This window comes from Homo sapiens, chromosome Y (assembly GCF_000001405.40).
Source record: "Homo sapiens chromosome Y, GRCh38.p14 Primary Assembly".
Lineage (NCBI taxonomy): Eukaryota > Metazoa > Chordata > Mammalia > Primates > Hominidae > Homo > Homo sapiens.
The window spans coordinates 23622759-23643469 of record NC_000024.10 but is presented as its reverse complement, the minus strand read 5'-3'; the positions used below and the strand labels follow the sequence as shown (position 1 = coordinate 23643469).

The 20711-nt window shown below is 39.4% G+C and overlaps 1 long non-coding RNA gene across 1 annotated transcript; it reads right to left on the bottom strand.

Annotated features, from left to right (window-relative positions):
- Positions 1 to 2694: 2694 nt before the first annotated feature.
- LOC107987349 (uncharacterized) lies at positions 2695 to 5819 on the bottom strand. The gene is made up of 3 exons (XR_001756082.3): positions 5737 to 5819; positions 5559 to 5619; positions 2695 to 4023 (listed from the first exon to the last, which is right to left on the bottom strand). It is a non-coding gene; the product is annotated as an uncharacterized LOC107987349 (long non-coding RNA).
- Between the last annotated feature and the right edge of the window lie 14892 nt (positions 5820 to 20711).

Genomic DNA, 20711 nt, shown 5'->3' with positions numbered 1-20711 from the left:
TGGAGAAACACAAGCATAACCTCCACTCGATGTTATTATTTTACCTATTTCCCAACTTTCCATTATTGGATCTCTCAACCAAACCAGTTTTTCTGCTTCTATCTTTGCAGCTGGCTTCTGTAGATGCTGTTTGGCTGCAGATAGCATCTGGTCCTAGACAAGCTCAAAAAATTTAGAGTAAATCATGCTAGATTCAATTTCATATGTGGCATCCCACAGTCCCTGTTTCCACCTTTTGCTTTTGCAACTGTTGTTTAAGGAAGAGATTCATTCTTTCCACTATGGCTTGTCCTTGAAAATTATATGAGATACCAGTAATGTGTTTAATATTCCATATAGAGAAAAATGTAGCTAGAACTTGGCTACTATAGCCTGGGTCACTGTCCTTTTTAAAGAAGCTGGAATGCCCATCACCACAAAACACTGCAAAAGGTGACATTTAACACAGGCAGAAGACTCTCTTGATTGGCAAGTAGCTCAGACAAAGTGAGAAAATGTGTCCACACATACATGTATATAAGCTAGTCTCCCAAACAAGGGAAAATGTGTGACATTCATTTGCCAAAGAGAATTAGGTCCCAATCCTCGAGGATTAACTCCTCCTGTAAAAGATGAGGAATGCACCATTTGGCAAGTTGGGTATCGCTGGATAATAGCTTTCACTTCTTTCCAGATAATGCTGTACTGTGTTTGAGACCAAAAACATTAACATGGGTTGAATTGTGAAAGTGTCTGGCATTAGATATTGTAGTAGCAACTGGCGGATCAGCCATTTGATTCCCTGCAGTCAAATGTCCTGGAGGAGGTTTATGAGCTCTAATATGAGTAATGCAAAAAGGGTTCATTCTACTTCTAGCTGCTGTGTGTAATTGGGTAAATAAAGTCATCAGTTGCTCATCTGTGTGGAATCATAGCTGAGCATTTTCAAGTAACTGTGTAGAATGAACCACATATGAAGAATCAGAAATCACATTTATAGGCATACTAAAACAAGTCCATACCTCAATTACAGCTGCAAACTCCACCTTTTGAGATGAAATATAGGGCATTTCCTGAGCTGGAAATGCCCTGGTTTAGAAAGCGGACTGGGACGGCCCCTCCTGGCATTTCCCAAAATCAGGTTTCCATCTTTATCAAACTTAGAGTGACACTGATTATCCGAGTAATTTTCTTTTTGCATTTTGGACATATTCCAGGCTCAGCAGTTTTCCTTTTATCCCTCAACTTGTGGCCTGACTCACTGATTTTTTTCACATTCTTTTCCAGTGTGACCATGCTTCCCACAGTTAAAACAAGCTCCAGGAAATGGAGTATTTCCTTTACCCACTTTCAGTCCTGTCATGGCTTGCACCACCAAAGTAGCTTTATGCAGATTACCTCTGATACCATCACAGGCCTTGATATAGTCAATTAAATGTGCTTTCCCTCTAATAGGTCACAGAGCCACCTGGAAATATGGATTTTCATTGTCGAAAGCTCATAACTGCAACACTATATCCTCAGCAGCTAAATCTGCAGTCATTTTTTAAGAGACTCTTATAACCAAGCTATAAAATCTGCATATGGTTCTTTTGGTCCCTGTTTTATAGCACTAAAGGAAAGATATTGTTCTCCTCCTGAAGTTATTTTTCCAAACTCTAATGCATACTCCTCTAAGCTGTTCTATGGCATCACCCAGCATGACCACTTGTGCATCCAAACCAACGCAGCTGCCTACCCCCAAAAGATGGTCTGTAGTTATATTAATTTGAGGTTGGGCCTGCGCATTGTGAGAAGGCTGAAAAAAGCTTCTTCTCCTCACCAAGTTTTAAACTGTAAAAAGTGAGCGAGAGTCAGGCAAGCTCACGTAAGAGCATCCCATTCAGTAGGAATCATCTGACTGGGGACAGCAACATTCTTTAACAGTACCATTACCAAAGAAGAACCTGGTCCATATTGATTAATAGCTGGTTTAAATTCTTTGAGTAATTTAAAAGGAAAAGGCTCAAAAGTAGTGATAATATTTCCCTGTTGACCTGGGGCATGTATCCTAACAGGGAGCTGCCAAGCCTCTATATCACCCTCTCGTCTAGGTTGCTGAATTCCTGCCTGAATAGAACGAAGAGCAATTGCTCATGGCACTGCTTGAACAATCATGGGGCAACTAGTTTTTGGTCAGTGGGTTCCAGAAAAGAAAGATCTACAGGGTCAGACCACTCTTTTTCTTCAAAATAGTGAGGGAGTGAAGAAGGGCAGAGACAAACCTCTCTCTCCTTTGCCACTTTAGCTTTAGCTGGCAAACAAACCTGTTCTGTCACCTCTTCTGTTACTTTGCTATACTCTCCTTCCTCCTAATCATCAATGTGAAAATGTTCCAAGGTGGAACAAACCAGAACCTGGACTTGTCCCATTGTTAACCTGATGCTTCCAAACTCCCCTTCTAACTCACTATGGCGATTGCTTAAGAGTAGCCAGATGTCCTCCAGTGTAGTCCTACATTCTCCAACCATTGCTCCTGTGACCTTTGACCTGGATTTGAGACCCCGTATAGTCACCACTTGCCGAGGCCAGCTCGGTCATGGAAACCATAACCCAATGGCACTAGCGGCATTAAAGACACACACACACACACACACACACAAATATAGTGTGCACAGTGAGAATCAGGGGGCTAACAGCCTTCAGAGCTGAGAGCCATAAACAGAGTTTAACACACATATTTATTGACAGCAAGCCAGTGATAAGCATTGTTTCTATAGATTACAGGTTAACTAAAACAGGAGACAAAGGATGGGCTCTGGCTAGTTATCTGCAGTGGGAAAGTGTCTTTGAGGCACAGATCGTTCATGGTATTATTTGTGGTTCAGGAATACCTTCAGTGATTTTCTGCCCTGGGTGTGCCAGGTGTCCTTGGCCTTCATTCTGATAAACAACCTTCATTGTAGTCATCATAGCAATCAGAAGCATGTCACAGTGCTATAGAGATATTGCTTATGGCCAGTTTTGGGGCCAATCTATGACCAGATTTTGGGGCCTGTTCCCAACAAAGCCTTTATAATATATGTAAAATAGCCAATGATTTAGAGCATATTAATAATATAGATCAATGAAAAAATTATAAAATACATATCCTACCCTTCAAAATAAAACAAAATTGGGAAGACTTCCAGAAAATATAAGCAAAAATGTGTTCTTCCTCAAATGCTGAAGGGTTATAGTAGAAAGACCTTTGTCAGAGATTTTATTTGTTAAGTGACAAATGATTTAATAGAAATCAAGCGTTTATTTTTCAGTTCACTGGAGCAAAGTTAAAAGCTGCAAAAACAACTCCTATGAAAGCCAGAGCTTCTAAGTGTAAGATAAAATTTTAAAAAAGAATAACACACTGACTATCAAGAAAAGAAACATCCCTGAGGTTTGGACTCCAGCAATATTAGTGTGAGAATAAACCTGACAGTTCATTGATACAGTAAACTGAGGAGTAAATTTAGATATATTTTCAGGAAAGAGACCATTTCTGTGTCCAGTGGGGTTGGGCACCCTGCCTAAATAATTGGTGGAAGAAAGCATGATTCAGACATTTTGGTAAAATACTTAAGTCAGTACAGAGAGTCATGTCTCACAGATACTAGGATCTAACACAGAATGAGGTTTGTATTCAAATACATGAGAGAAAGATTTATATCTCAACCTCTATCCTGTGGTATATTCAAGACTGAGGTTAGATTGTTTCATGTTGCCTACAAAATATAAGGTCCCCAAAGGCAGAAATGGGTATACAATACTAGATTGAACAATTAAGTTCCTAAAAACCTAAAAAGGTTAACACAAAACTGCCCCACTAAGAATCACTTTACACTCAAGAACTAAAGATTGCTTTATCACTTCACAGACGACATTAACAATTCACAGATGGATGTTCCATGTCCTAAGGGGTAGCAAAGGAAGACACACTTAATGGTCATACTCAAGGATAAAAAGTTGAATCAAAAAAGTCTTCATAATGAGTAGGTTTAGGAGTTCTCTGAGATGAAGAAATGGAATCTAAAGGAAAAAAGATGTGGGTAGGAGGAAAAAAATAATCTTTTTTAAATAGACAATTATACATTATTGAAAAATCAACCATATATTAAAGGAACTCAAATAATATTTTGTTTGTTTGTTTCTTCTGCAGTAGACCCCGAACAAGTACAGTAGGAAAAGTACTTTCCTATGTTGATCTGTAGTAAGTTTGCCAGGTGCAGGGACATAACATTTCAATTTAAAATTTGATTACTTTTTGACAAACAATAAAGAATTTGTTTTCAGTATGAGCCTGTCCCATGAGATAACGAGAATTTTAGTAAGTTACTAGAATATTGAGAATTATACTAAAATGCTATTTGCTTATTTAAAATGAAAATATAACTGGTAATCCTGTATTATACCTGGTGACCGTAAATGAAACAGAAGTCAGGAAAGTGGAACTCAGTGGTGGAAGGTTTTATATACATTTACAAGAAACAAAAGAAGACAAAAATATACAGAAAGGGAAACACACAGATTTTGAAAATAATCTCTACAGAAAATATTTATCCACATAAAATATCATTTACTAGAAACATATTTTTAACTCTCAAAGATTATGCCAATATTAAAGACTTATCAAAAGACCAAGAGAAAGAAACATAAAGCTTATTTTATTTTAGCAAAGAGAAAAATAAATCTCAAAATAAAAGAGGTAGGCAGGAAGTTTTTGTTTGTTTGTTTGTTTTGTTTTCTGAACGGGGCTAGACATAGGTTTTACTTTGTTTAAAAAATGCTATTGAATTTTTTTAATTTGATTCTTTAATTTTTTTAATTTGATTTTCTGATTTTTTTAATTTGATTTTTGAATTTGATTAACTACAGAAACTGTAGAAATTTGGTGATTAATGTCAAAAGCACAAAAAGAAAAAAATACGAGTAAGAAAAGTAAATGAATACAATTAGAAAAACAGGTGACGGGTGGGGAAAGGGAGAGAAGAACAAAGGCAGATAGGAGGCAAAGGCAGAGCCAAAGAAAATCTAGGGTAAATGAAAAACTGACTGAGCAGGTGTTAGTTATTTAGATAAGAGAGTAACCATATTAGATGTAAGCTGTTTAAACTCATGTGTTAAAATATAAAATACTCTACCGTTAGATTGATAAAAATTTGCTTTCACCTAGGAATAATCACACTGAAATATTGAAAATAAGGATTTAGAAAAAATTAACAAGTATTTATCCAAAAAAATTAGGCCACTGTTATTATATAAGGAAAATGAGAATTTTAGAAAAAATGCAAGGAATAAAGATGGAGAACTATAGATGCAAGGCAACAGACAAAATATGAAACATCAAAATATTAAAAAATTTTAAAGATAATATAACAGTCACAAACATAAATTCCTCAGTAGCATTATCACAATATACATCTGAGGCAAATTTTATGAATATCTATTTATATAGACAAGCCCCAATTGTAGTGAGATGTGTTATATATGTGACTCATCTAGACTAATGAGTATACAGACATTTAGTCATCAATAGAAACACTTTGCAATGTTTGTGTACTTACTTTTCTTCAGTTTCAAAATGTGAAGCCAAGTAGTAGAGCATGTTTTCAGAATTTCACAGCTCTGCAATAGAGCAAATATTAATACAGAATAACACTTTTCCCCTTCAACGTCAACTCCATCTAACCTAACTAGCATGATGCTTTGCCTTCTCACATGCTCTCTAGACATCCTACTCACCCTTCTTTTCTAGATCCACATTCTCATGATACTGTCTTCTAACAGAGCTTACTTGGATGCCAACACAATGCAGGCTTGTGAAGATATCCAAGCAAAGAAGGAACAGGAACTGCAAGATATCAAGTCGTAGTAAAATGAATAACTCAATTCTTACACATAAATATTTGGCAGAGTGTTTCAGCTGAAGCATTTACAGCTCTGACAAATCATCACATGGCTGCTCTGCAGTAAACATATGTATTCCACCAAACTAATGTAAATGTTCAAATACCTCACTTTCTATCTCAAGCTACTGGGATGTATCTCCAAGGAAAACTTCCCAGTGGTTAAATCTTTTTATTCAGAAAAAATATGAGAGGTTTTAAGTTAGCAATTTTAAAAGGCAACCCTTTGTTAAAATGATTGTTCATACTCCGGAAATTTGTGGCATGTTCACATTTGTTGCTAGAGCAGTTCTATTAAGACACTCATTGGAATATGTGATGCTTCTTGATAGGGACCTGTAACATGCCAGCTTTCAAGGGATGAGACCACGAATTCACATATACGCCATCTATCCTCAAATAACTGCTATCTACATAGGAAATAAAATGGAATAGGGGTGAAGTTTCAATTCTTAGAGCTGGCATTTATTAAACTTTGCCTCAAAGATAATGTGATTTTTATGACTGACTTTTCAAATTAGCTTTTCTTCCCAAGTCCAGGCTCCCTTAATTTCCTCAGCCAATAAGAAAATATTTTTCAAAAATGCAAAAATTAGCAACAATTATGCTGACTCCACTACAGAAGAATTTGGATTCTGACTCATTGATTAGCTTTCCAAATGCAATTTTATAATCTACTCCTAACAGATCTGGATTAAGACTCATTCACAAGATTTCCAAAAGCAATTTTTTAATAGGTTATATTCCAACAACATACTCATCCATTTTTCATTATCCTTGGGATAAAAATGTCAGCTCCATCTTAAGGAGGATATGTTTAAATTTCTAAGAATTTGTATCACAACCACAGACCCAAATATGTTTCATGTAATTTTGCTCCATAAATATTTTTCTTAAATAGAAAATGTTACTTTATTAAAATGACCCCCCAATTTTAACCATTTCAGTGGTCTAGTTAAACAGTTTCATACCAACTCTCTAAAACCTAAATTTAAACTGACCATAGGCCACTAATCTCTTACTTTTATAGACTCGAAGACAGAATTTAAATTAGGTTTAGTATTTATTTGTTTAATCTAAATCTTAGTTTCCTGGAATAATAAAGTTTGATGTTTAGCAAGAAAAGTACTTGAGTTTAAGCCAGTTTCAATACAAGCTTGCCTTCTGCATTATTATTGAGTAGCAGACATTAAGTGACTATAGTTACTGGGTATTAGTGATGGTAAACTTTGTGTTTTTCATTATGAAATAATCTGTGTAACTGTTGGGTATATCAGTGCTTTCAAATGTGCTGCTTAGAATAGGATTAACTGTAAATTCATGTCAAGAATTAACTTGTGATTTGGCTGTTTCCTGAATTTTATAATATACATGTGCAGAAATGTATTCAAAATTGAGTAAGGAAGCACACCTCTATCAGCATGCTATTAAACTTGAACATCAAGTATCATATATCGGTAGAGTTTTGGGGGTTTTTTTATTATTTGGGATTTTTTTTTTAATTGAGAGAAGCTCTCTTCTGTGCAGAATGGCTATTTCAAAGTATCTCACTGTTTGTTTTCCTGTTCCATGACTATTTTTTCCAGCAGTGGTGATGCATTGAAGTCCAGTTTTCTAGAAGGGGAGTGTCTCAACCCTAATTTTACTTTTCTAATTCTGGTAGCTGCAGGAATTTTTGAAAGTTTTGTTTAAGTAGTCTAATATTTTTTATGTAAAGAGCATTAAATTTTGCTGTGTATAAATTGTCATAATCTAAAAGTGAATCAACATTTTCAGTCCTTGAATCCTAGAACTTTTGGGAGGCCGAGGCATGTGGATCATGAGATCAGGAGATTGGGCCCATCCTGACTAACACGGTAAAACGCAGTCTCTACTAAAAACACAAAAAATTAGCCGGGCGTTGTGGCAGGTGCCTGCAGTCCCAGCTACTCCAGACGCTGAGGCCAGAGGATGGCGTGAACCCGGGAGGCAAAGCTTGCAGTGAGCCAAGATTGCACCAATGCTCTCCAACCTGGGCAACAGGGCAGACTCCATCTCAAAAAAAACAAAAAAAAAAAAAAAAGAAAAAACTTCCGTCAGTGCCCAAGTGCCAAGCGCTTCCTATAGTTCTAATCAAGCGTTACAATAAATACTTGTAGAAAATAGTCAATATTTATGCATGCTTATTTTGCTGACATCCATAAGTGGAAATAGTTGTAGATGTACTAAGAGTAATGAAGTAATATTATAGCTTCATTTACTTGCCTTTTTACTATATATAAATCTATCTTTGTCCCCAGTATGGTGTCACATTTGAATAATGTGCATAGTAAAGATTTCATGTTGTTATAAAAATCAAGTCTGTGAGTGCTACTTGTTTTATTTTTGGCAAAAATCTCTTCAGCAATTTAAGAAAATATTATAATCCACTGGGCTGTATTGGGCATAAAAGTGCCACTAACACTTCTGTAGTTCTCTGTATAAAGTTATACGTTTTATGACCAGTTTTGCAACAAATAAAATCTATCTACCAGTAAGATTAACAAGGCTTAAACTTGGGCAAAGTACAACAATAAGTTTCCCTGTGTAGTTGGTTATTTTTTCAAATCAATAGTACAAAATTCTATGGAAAGGTTTACTCAGGAATATATAAAAAAAAAAAACCTGGTTCTAACAGTTACTCTCTAGAATAGCAGAGCTAAATATGTTACTCAGGATTTTATTTAATAATCTGTTTGAACTCCTTATCTGTCAACATGATTCTAAATTTGGGTTCTCTGCATCTGACATTTCTTAGTGCCTCATAGTCTTTATCACTATTGACACATGGCCATCTCTAATTCAGGTTCTGACTCTGGATCATCTCCTTTCATTCATGCATGGCAGGAGAAGAGTACACAGTTCAATTGGTGTACTATTTGTCACACTACATACTACCTTCTGTTTAAGTAACAATTTGTGCAATTATTTAATTCACACAAATCAACAGAGGAAAGTGTAAGTAATAGATAGGATCACCAGAAGTCTCTAAATTGTCAAAAGTGATCTTGCCACCTGGGAAGGAACCCTATATTTATAAACTAATGAAATACTTGAAGCCAATTCATGAAGTATTATGACCAAAGTTTCCACAATAAAGATGCTATCTCAGTATCTTCCTGTTCCTATAACACAATACCTTAGACTGGGTAAGTTATGAAACCAGAAATATGTTTCTTACAGTTTTAGAGGTTGGGAAGCCCAAGGTAAAGGCACTGGCAGGTTCAATGCCTGGCGTAGGCCTAGTTTCTGCTTCCAAGATGGTATCTTGTTGCTGTGTTCTCCAGAGAGGACAAATAAAGTATCCTTAAATGGTGGAAGGGCAAAAGGGCCCAGTTATTTCCATTAAGCCCTTTTATAGGGTTGCTAATTGCACTCTTAATTGCCTCCAGAAGCCCCCACCTTTTAATTCTATCACACTGGAGGGTTTAACTTCCAACATATGAACTCTGGAGGGACACACACATTCAAACCACAGGTATTAAATGTAAAGATCAGAGGCAATATTGTACTATTCATAAAGCCTAGGAATTTCTGTGTGTTTTTATGTTCCGGGAGAAAACTGAAATGTGCCGGCAAAAGATGACCTCATTTTACAGATGGCAGTCCTTCACTGGAGAGGAAAGAAAATAGCTTAATCTTTAAAGAGTAGGCCTGGAGTTAATCAATATGATAGGTTATACTCATTTAAAATTTAGGAAATATAAGCTTAGAAAAACAGCTCTTTTTAGTGTAATGAATGAGAAATTCTGTGACTGGAGAAGCTGTCGAACATCTTCATTGATTCCAGAATCATCTTCTCTAAAACAGATGGGCATGAAAGCACAAAATACACAAACACATTTATAAAACATTTTAAGTGTTTAAAAATGCAGTACTATAATTCCATCGTGTATGCCAGTGAACTAATTTTTAAAATTGGAATCATTGCTATCATCAATGGAAAACAAATAGGTCATCTCAATGAAGGAAGTGATTAATTTCCCTCAAGTGTCCTGTGCTTCAGATTTGAATTAACCAGGAATCTAAGGAACATTCATATGTTGCTGTAATTCAAGCAAGACTTAGCAGGTCTATTAATTGGACAGATAAATTTATCTGCTAGGCCAGAATCAGAATATAGAAGGGAAGCAGAGAACCAGAGGAAGGAGGGAGGCAATGTATGCCCCTGGAAGCAACCTTGGACTGGCAGCCACCTTCACTGTTTGGTTCTTCTACAGCCAACTAGCTGACATTGACAGCCTCTTATTTCAGCTCTTTTTTAAATTTATTATTATTCTTAATTTTTTGTTTGTGTTGAAACTGAGTCTTGCAAATGGACGGCAGCCCTTCTTAGAGTTTCAGCGATTACTCTGATGTGGATCCTTTCCATATCTTTTACTCCACTCCTGATCTCTATACCTAGCCTCCCATCCACATTTCTGATAGTTTCTTTCCATACACATGTAGAAACTCCACAGCACCAGCTTCATCCCAGGAGTGATCATCCCAGTCCTTCGCTCATGAGCCATCTTCCATCCACCCAGTAACTAGCCCTGGCACATTCACACTCTCTGTCCTGTGGCTGCAAGAGGGGTCTTCCTCATCATCTGCCTGGAATACTGAAACAGCCCTGTCAAGGCTCTCTGTGAATTCAGTCTCTGCCTGCGAGAAACCTGTGGTCATCTGCACCAGGCATTCCCTGAGGGGAAGATTGTATCTCATGTACAGTGTCTCTGCTCTGGTAGAGTCCAATGCCATGGTATTCTGGGCTCTGATAATCTGCCTTTTTCTTTCCAGATTGATTTCACATAACACCACCAACATTGTACTACAAATGTTTCATCTGTACCAACCCATTTTCTGGGGTCTGACTATGGCTGTAGCTTCCTTGCTTGGCATTTGCCTTCACTATCTCCTCAGCTGGTGACATTTCCATTCTGTCATAAAGGGTGATATGCTGTTGGAGACCAAACTGAAATTCCAACTCTTCCTTATTTCTGAAGTGAAAAGTAATCACTCCAGCACATTAATTGTGCAATATCTTGTACCTGCTTCTTGAAAATATACACATACTTGTTTCTTCTGTTTCTATCTCTTCCAGGGAAGGCCCATATTTCAACAAATTGTCTGTTCCCTCTGCATCATGGCACGGGTCCCTACATCTCAAATGTTTAAATAGACCTCATTCTCAGAAACAATTATGCTGACCTTTCTCTTCCAGTTCTACCCATAACCTATTTTTTTATGAGTAAGCAATGCAAATATACAGAAGAATTTATAGGTTCACCAGAGGGTCATGAACCTTTTTGCTCTGCCTTGTTCTAAAGTCATCAGCAGGGACTGAGTTAGTTTCAAAAACAGGAGAAAAGCAACACAGTTTTTTCTCTGTCTCCACCCACCATCTCTTCTCAATCCTTCTCATGAAATTAAAATACCTTAAGAGACAGTTAATCATTTCTGCAAGTAGAAAGGCAACTTTCTGTGTGCTAGAAGAACAAGAAGAAAAAAGTTACTTATAAATGAGATTGCTTTCTTATATGAAATAGTAATTTCAAGATAGTAATATTATTTAAGCACCTCTTTATTAAGGAAGAAAGGAAGCAAAACTACTTCACTGCTCTGGTTTATATTTTGTACCTACGTGGTGGAATACTGAAACCTCTTTGGACACAACGGAAAGAAATGAAGTATGTCCATTGTGCCCCTTGCATCAGAGAGAGCATATTTCAGCCTTTTCAATTTCCATTGAGGCTAGAAGAAGTGAAATGATGAATATAAAAAATTCTCAGTAACACCAATGTTACTCACTATGCTGCTTAATAATGTTTTTTTATATTATTATTATTATTATTATTATTATTATTATTATTATTATTGAATCTCACTCTTTCACCTAGGCTGGAGTGCAGTTGAGCAGTCAGCTTAATGCAACCTCCACCCCCTGGGTTCAATTGATTCTCCTTCCTCAGCCTCACAAGTAGGTGGGATTACAAGCCCATGACACCATGCCTGGCTAATTTTTGTATTTTTAGTAGAGATGGTGTTTCACCACGTTAGCCAGGATGGTCTCAATCTCCTGACCTCATGATGCACTCATCTCAGCCTCCAAAAGAGCCACTGCACCCAGTAAATAATTTCTAAATCCAGTATTATAATCTACATTCCACCTCAGAGGCAGAACACCAAGTTATTCAGTTGAATTCCTTTATCTTATTACCTTGTTTCAGTCCCTTTCCCAGGTCTGTGACAAATGGCTGCCGGTCAAAACTCCCTCTTGTAGCCATGGCCCCTACTCATCTGCTTCAGCCCAACTCTACTACAGTCTTGGGTAATGGTTTGCTGACCATCTGCCTCAGTGTCTAGAAATTCAGGATGACACGAGCTTGGTTTGATTCACTGTTGTATGATCAGCCCCAAGGAAACTGCCCAGCAGAGACAGGCTCTAGATCAGGTCTTACAGAGTGGTTTCCAAAACGCATTTATTCTGGAATAAGCAAAATCAAACTTCTCAAAATCCCTTGCCTCTTTAAGTAATTCTATATGTTACTGAATGCCATGACTATACCCAAGAAACTGCTAACCAGACATTTTGGAAATATTTTTAAGATGTATTTCCAATGTTTGGGAGGGAGTAAGAGGTGGCTTTCCTTGAGAAAATTACTTTCATATTTGAGGATGAAATACTTTGGTCCCAAAAGAAAAGAGCCTGGCTGTTTGCTCATCCCTGAAACAAAGGACAAAGCTCCCACTCTTGTGGGAATTAAGGGACAGGAGAGACCAATGGGTGGAACAGGAGGATTTTATTGGGCGTACGTTGACTTAGCGGAATAACATTTAAAGACTGAGCCCTGAACAAAGATAGGGCTTGACTTTCATACATGCAACTGAAGAGGGTTGGCAGCTAATGGCATGAAATCTGCAGGATGGGCAAGCAAGCTTATAGGAGTAGAATGAAGAGAGTTTTTAAAAAAAAGTGACAGGTGTTATAACTCAGGCATGTATCATGACTTTCAATAATATATGGATGGGAAAACAGAAACCTACAAAATTTTTGTCAACTTCCAGAAGTAGTTATAAAAGTATATGTGAGAGCACATCAAAGAATAATGGTATTGGGTGAGAGTACTAGAGAGGGGAAACAGATAAGAACGTGTTATTTTCACTCCTGCTCCTGGAACCCATTCTTTACAGGCCCCATCTCTGCTGATAGTGCTATCAGAGCCCCAACAGGGCCTGGCTTATCCCTGGGTTTTTGGAGTGAGTCAGCTCAGTACACAGAATATGTTTTTTTTTTTTAACATTCCCTGTTTCATTTCCACCTTTCATGCTTTTTGTAAATGAGGATTAATAGAGAGAATCACCTAGTAATTCTTCAAGGGGGAGCAGTTCCCTATTTGGCAGGGGTTGATGTTTAGTTAGAGCCATTAGTTGAGTAGTCGTGTGTTTGTTTACAAGAGCCTCTATGGCTGCTTGAATGTTTTTAACAAGGAGGGTAAGAGACAAATTAGAACAAGGCAGAATCCTAGTATGGCTAGAACTATTTTTACTAAGATCTTAAATTCTTCAAAGGATGAAAATAAGCCCCCAAAGAGGGAAACTGGAGACTACCCTTTAAAAGGCTGGACTGTAACATGGGCCAATTTTTGGATTTTGGAAGTTGTATTCTTAATGATCTTTCTAGGCAGCATTTAGTTAGATTGAACTTTCCACATACCCTTCCTTCCTGGACTAGGAAGTAGTTTAAAGACAGTCTATTTCGATGAATAGCATTCTTCATTTTTGTGGCTTGTTGGGCCTGCAGATTTAGGGTCTTTGCAGTGTTATTAGTAATAATTTTCAGCACTGCCTGTAACCTTATGTTGTGGTAGAATATGTAAATAGGAGTGCAGTATCCCCAAATTCCATTTTCTGTCCAGGTGGCTGAGCCATGGTGTTGGAATTTTTAGGGGGTCATTAATTGTTTTACCAATTTCTTATGGTTATGTCTTTTGTTTGTTTGTTCTGTATTTGTTTTATAATAGACCGGATACCCTAAAGGTCCTCCCTGTCCTAAGGCGATTAGAAAGGAGACAGCCTAATTTTTTCCAGTACACTGGCCCCTGACCATTTAGCCAGCAATGGGCAATATGCCCATGGCCCACAGATCCAGTAGAGCTCAGAGGGCACCTGACGGGTATTAGGAGCGTTAAGTTGGTACAAAGAATGCTTTAAAGAAGGGAATCAGGAGAATGGGCCTGGTTGGGGCAGTTTGGAATTATTTTTACCACAACATACAGTTTTTCCTACTGTTTTATTGTAATATTATTGTTCTAGGCAAGTTGACTTTCCTACTGGGCCTGTAAGGTTTTTCTCCAACAAGAAATGCATAATATTCTGATAATGGAGGTCTTTAAGAATCAGATGCTCTGGCTTGTGAACACAGGTTCAGGGGAAGAGACAGTAAGAGTGAAGTTATCTTGGGGCATTAGCTTTCTTGCCTCCCATGGCCATTGGTGTCCCATGTTGGTCCAACCACAAACATAGCATGAGGAGATATGTAGGCTGCTGGCTATGTTTTCAGCCAGTTGAATATACATCAACTGAATAGGCTTCCATATACTTCAACTGAATAGGCTTCTGGCTAAGAGAGAGGGTTCAAACAGTTCCTGGTTGAAATTTTTACAGAATGATTTTAAAACAGAGTTTTCAGGTGTAACCATCCGAGATTTCTTGATAATATGTAAATAGGCTTTTGAGTCTGTTTTCTGGCCACTAACTTGTATTCCTAGAGGAGCCTTTAAACTTGTAGCCCATACAGCCAGATACGGTTTTAAGGTACTGAGATTTTCCAGGTAGCAAGTGCTTGCCTTACAGTTTGTTTTTGCTGTAAGTATGACTCACCCCAGTGATTGCAGGTTACAGGACTGAATTATGCAGTTCCAGCAAATTGTCTCTGAGAAACTGGCAAAGAAAGCAAGGGGTGAACATATATTTTTGTGGCAACTATTATAGTGCTCTTCAGAATTAGAGATTATGGGAAAGGTTGAGCCCATGGATGTTAACTGGCATATATTAAAGGATAAGGACATAACTCCCCAATGGGAGGATGAGACCTTGGTTTGGTGTAGCAGGTTTCCTTCTATTGACCCATGAATTTTAAAAGAGGTCTCAGGTAGGAATTTGGGGTTATAACACATATAAGTCTAGCCATTTCCTGGGTCACAGACTGAGTAGTTTCGTTGTGAGTACAAGTTTCTAGGTGGGTCCCTGTACACTTTTAATAAGTGTGATATAACAGGGTTTTGGTTATGGTGCTCCCTGACCATATTGTTAGTGCAGTGTGGGCACTCTTCTCTGGTCTCCTTTTCTGAAACAAATAAGGGGAGTATTATAGTTAGGAGGAAAAGAAGTGGGCTTAGCTTTCCTATTGCCTGGAATAGGAAATAAGTAAAGAGTAACATGTTTATACCAGGGAGGAAAAGAAGAAGTTTTTACACAGGGGAGGAGGTTGAGCAAAGTGAGAGAACAATAGTAAAACAATGATTGGATTTAAGATTTTTATCACTATTTTATTATATTTTACTCCAGCTTCAAACGTACGTACAGTAGTCAGCTTCCAGGATGACTACAGCAGGGCTGTTGACTCCTCAAGTTTTAGCTGAGAACAGACTAGTCAGCTTTCGGAATGACCAGAGTAGGGCTTCATCATTTCTCAGGGCAAATAGGTCATAGGATTAGCCAGCTCAGATGGTCTGGGTCATGTTTGCTGGTCCACTTGTCTTGGGCTGCAAGTTTTAGTTGACTGTGGTGGATCCAACGCACAATTTCTGCAATGTTAACAGCAGTGGAAGTGGACAAGGTTGCAGGATGGGGCCCATCCCATATGGGTTCTAGAGTGGTTGGATTTTATTTCTGACCTACACAGAGTCCCCAGGTCTAAAGTGGTGTGCTGTGTTTGTTGGGCTTATGGACAATCTTTCCCATACCCAGCCATGGACCTCTTGCATGGCTCTCTTTAACGCCTGCCTTTGCCTTCTTAAAGTTAATTCCCTAGTTTGCAAAGTTCACCCCTAATTTGAGCTATGATTGGGGATGGCCAGTGGAAAATAGTCCCTGAACTGTCTCGGTCACAAATTTCAGTCCATTTTCTGACCCTAGAGTTAGAGGCATTCTCAATCTGGGGATATCGTCTCTTAACAGTACTTCTGTTACTTCTCATGATTTCTCTGTTAGGGTGGGGAAAGCCTCAACTCATCCTGAAAAGGTACAGAAAATCACCAGTATGTACTTACAGCCCACTGATTGGGGCATCTCAGTGAAGTTTCTAAGAAGGTTTTCACAGGGTGTGGCTCCCATTTCCTGAATTCCCAGGGGCCAAGTGGGCCCTTGTCATGGAATGTTCTGGGCACAAGTTAGACATTGTTTGCAGACAGATCAAGTGATGACAGTGAGCTGTGGCACATAGAAATGGTGTCCTAGCAGTGTTTTCAGTGACATTTTTCCCATGTGGGTTCCTTGATGGAATTGTTTTACAAATTTTGGGGCCAGCATTTCGTGGTTGGCTAGCCTCCTATTGGAGAATTTTCACCGTCCCTTTTTATATATTTTCCAGACCCTTGGGAAAAGCAGAGCTTCTCATTTGGAGGTAACTTGAAACCTCTGAGAGGTGCATATTTGGGAGGAGAGTCAGCTATGGCTGTCTGTCTGTCTATGGGTAGTCATTGCTGCCCCTTTTGCATACCTGTCTACCTTTTTGTTCCTTTTGGCCTCCAGTGATCCTGGCTTTTGGTGCCCCTTGCAGTGCATAGCAGCTGTCTTCTTTGGAGTCCATACAGCATCTAAGAGTTGCAGAATTTTTTCTTTGTACTTTTTTTTCTTTTTGGCCCACCGCAGTTAAGAATCCTTTTTCTTTATATATAGCCCCATTATCAGGCAGCGTGGCAAAAGTATACTTGGAATCAGTATAAACATTGGCCATTTTACGTTTTGTCAGCAGAACGCTCTCATTAGGGCTATTAGCTCTGCCTTTTGGGCTGATGTTCTGGTGGGCTGAGCTTCTACCACTGAATCTAATGTTATCACTGCATACCCAGTTTCACGGACCCCTTTCAGTATATAGTATTTACCATCTGGGTCCCAGAGGGGTTGCTCTATAAGGTCTTTCTGGCTTGAGAATACATCATCTACTGTTTCCACAGAGTCATGAAGGAGGACCCCTGGTTTGACTGGGACTAAGGTAGCCAGGTTAAGGGTGTTTATTATTTCCAAAGTTATGTCGGGATTTTTGCATATGAGCCCCTGGTACTGAGTCACTCTTGGATTTGATAACTAATAGTGCGCTGTCTAATCCATTAAAGTTAGAACTGACTGTGGTATACCCAGATGGTCAGCTGTTGTCTTAGAGCTAGTTTTCTATCTTGTTGTTCCAATAGGGTGGTGTCAGCTAGTGCCCTAAGGCAAGGAGGCTATGCTAGGGCCAAGGAGTTCAATTGTGTGGATAAGTACATCACCGGGCGAATTCATGATTTCACAACTTGGGTCAGGACACCTATAGCCAATCCCTTTTATTCATGGACATGTGGAAAGAAAGGCTTACTTATATTTGGCAGTCCTATGGCTTGGGCCTGTGTTAAGGCTTCTTTGGCTTGTTTAAACACCTTCTTTTCCTGGACAGCCTCTCAAAGGAGGGGTTTCCTTTCCCCTCTCTTTGTGCCTTTATATAAGGGCTTGGCAATTAGTGAGAAATTTGGGACCCAGATACAGCAGAACCCTGCATTCCCCAAGAATTTTCCCATTTGGCACTGGGTGGTTTGAGTTGAGAGTGCATAAAGACATGGCTTTTGCTCACTGCTGAGCTGGTGTTCCCATTGGCTTACTATGAAGTCCAGATATTTGACACTTTCTTGGCAAATTTGGCCTTCTTTCTGAATACGTTATAACCAGTTTTCCATAAAGGAGATGGAGGAAGTCTTGGATTCCTTGGTATCTGCCCCCTGGGGTTGGGGCTGCTAGGAGAAGGTCGTTTATGTATTGTAGCAAGGTGTAGTTGTCATTTGGTGTGGTGAAGGCCTTGATGTCTGAGGCCAGTGTGTCTCCAAAGATTGTAGGAGTGTTTTTGAATCTTTGTGGGAGTCTAGTCCATGTGAGCTGCTCCCCTGTGCCTGTGACTCAATCGTCCCATTGAAATGCAAAGATGGGCTGACTAATTGGTGCCAGGCACAGATAGAAGAAAATATTCTTTAAGTCTAGTCAAGTAAATCAGGCAGCACTTGCCAGAATGAATCTTATTAGCATGTACGGATTTGGTATCACCAGGTGGAAGGTTACAGTAGCCTGGTTCATTTCATGTAAGTTTTGCACTGGTTTAGATTTACCAGACTCTGTATTTTGTTTTGGTAGCAGTGGAGTGTTCCAGGGTGACTCACACCAGACTACCAGACTAAGATTCTGTGTTTGAAGGGTCACTTTAAATGTTTGTGAATACCCCGCGTGTCTTCTCAGAGAAATAGGTATTGGTGAACCTGAACTGGAGTTGCTCCTGGTTTTAGCTTTACTATTATCAGTGCCTGATTTACAGCCTTTACAGCCAGGCTCAGTGGGTTATTGTTAGCCCATACTCCAAAAATTTTACCCAGTAGTGTAAACACTTTCTCCAGCCCTGGCTTATGAGACAGTTCTGGTGACTGTTTTGTCTATACTCTTCATTCCTCAGCCTGCAGAATAATGAGGGTTAACACCATGACCTTTGGGTGAGTTAGGCTTAAAGTTATATCCTCGTGTGGCCCAAAAGAAATCTGTGCTGTCAGTTTCTGGAGCAGATCTCTTCCATGTAGGGGATCTGAGCAACTTGGGAGGTATAGGAATTCATGTTGGACTTCTTGTCCCTCTATGACATACCTTCTAGGCCAGCAAGATGGCCTCCTTTCTGGATCCCTTGTAGCCCCAATAATAGTTGTATCATGTTTAGATAGTGGCCCTATGGGCTGTGTCACTACTGAGTGTTTAGAGCTGGTGTTCACCATAAAGTCCATCTGTTGCTCCCCTACTTCTACTGTGATCATGGGCTCCTGGGGACTTGGGAGATGGAGCCCGGTCTTGCATAGTCTTCCTATTTTTCGGTCTCTGCCAGCCCAATTAAGTTGATGCCTGGCTCCCTCATGGTGTGGTGGTCCTTGGCTGGCTGTTTGATAGTTTTGTGTCCTCTGTTATTTCTTTTACTACCCTCTAAACACTTATTTTTCCAGGGACCCCCTTTTTTTGCAGTGCAAATATTGATCTCTATCTAGTCTCAGCTGACTTTTGGGTCTCTGCCCTGCTTGGCCCCTTCCACATCTGAGTCTGCATCTGCATCTGCTTGTGATGATAGCTTCCCTTTCCATGAGGGCTGCCACTAGTAGATCGGCCTTCTTCCTGAGTCTCCAATCAGCCTCACTTTGTGCTTTCTGGTCACAGTTAACATACACCTTCGTGGCCAATTCTGAAAGCTGGGTGGCATTCATGCCTGCAAAACCATCTAGCTTTTGCACTTTTCATCTTATGTCCCCCTGGGCTTGTCCTACAAATGCTGCATTTACTATCTGCTGGTTCTTATCCTTGGGGTCAAATGGAGTGTAAAGCCAGAATGCCTCAAACAGTTTCTAATAAAACTTGCTAGGGCTCTCGTCAGTTTCTTGAAGCACTTCTGAGATTTTTTCTATATTGATTACCTGTTTTCTGCCTTCCTTTAGCCTTTGCAAGAGTGGTTTTCAGTATGCCTGCAGATGCTGAAACTGGTCAAATCATCTGGGTCCCAGTGGGAGTGTGCTTCTGGGAACTGGACCTGAGAGTATGCCTGGAAATTAAATGTGCCTTCTGGCACATGGGCTTCTGGCCAGTTGAGGGCTGAATGAGCCATCCTTCCATGCTCTTTGGTGTTAAACAGCATCAGGAGAAGATGTTTACTATCTGGACAAATTGAATTATGTGTCTGGAAAATGGACTGTATCAGATCTATGAGGGCCAGGGGCTTCTTCATGTAGGAGAGAATATGGTGTTTCCAGTTAGGGGATCAGTGATTGAAATAGGCTGGTAGATAAGGGTCCATTTCCCCCCTTACGTATGGCCATATTCATCAAAGTAGAGGCCTCCCCAAGTCTCCTTGAAAGGCATCTGCAGAACCAGGGCATGGCCATAGCAGAGGCAGCTCACTTGATTATTCTGACACTCCTCCTTGACCTCCTGGGGCAGGGGCTCTGATTTCTCCCTTTGGGGTGAAACCCAGGGTGTGTCACCATCTGAATTTGACTCCTCATGGGCCATTGGCCTTGGTAAAAGGGGGCTAATTGGGGTATAGGGAGGAGGGATTTCTGTCTCTTCTGGTGGTTTCCACAAAGCCAGTTTTTCTTGCCCTTCTTATGGCTTTCCCTTTTTCTCCATTGCTGCTGGTGAAGCTGATTCCTCTTTCACTTTAGGCTCAGCTTGAGCAACAAGCGTTTTGCAGTAAGCCATCAGGAAAGACTGTAGCCATGCTGGTTGGGATGATATTTAGCCATAAGTCAATATAAAAAAATTGGTCTGGATACCCTGGCTATTCTCTGACCCCAGTCACCACTTGATGTGCATGGTCAATTATTCCCCATCTATTGTTCCTTCAGCTGGCCACCCAACACTAAAATAGGGCTTCTCTATTTTACAAAGACTCTTTTACCTCTGGGGAGTCGACTTGATACTACAATTCCCAGTGTAACATTTCTTAAACTTTTTAACGTGTATTCTAATATGGTGGGTTTTGACAACTTCCCTCACATCTCCTCCCAGTTATAGTGTCATACACTTACTCTTTTACTTTTGCTT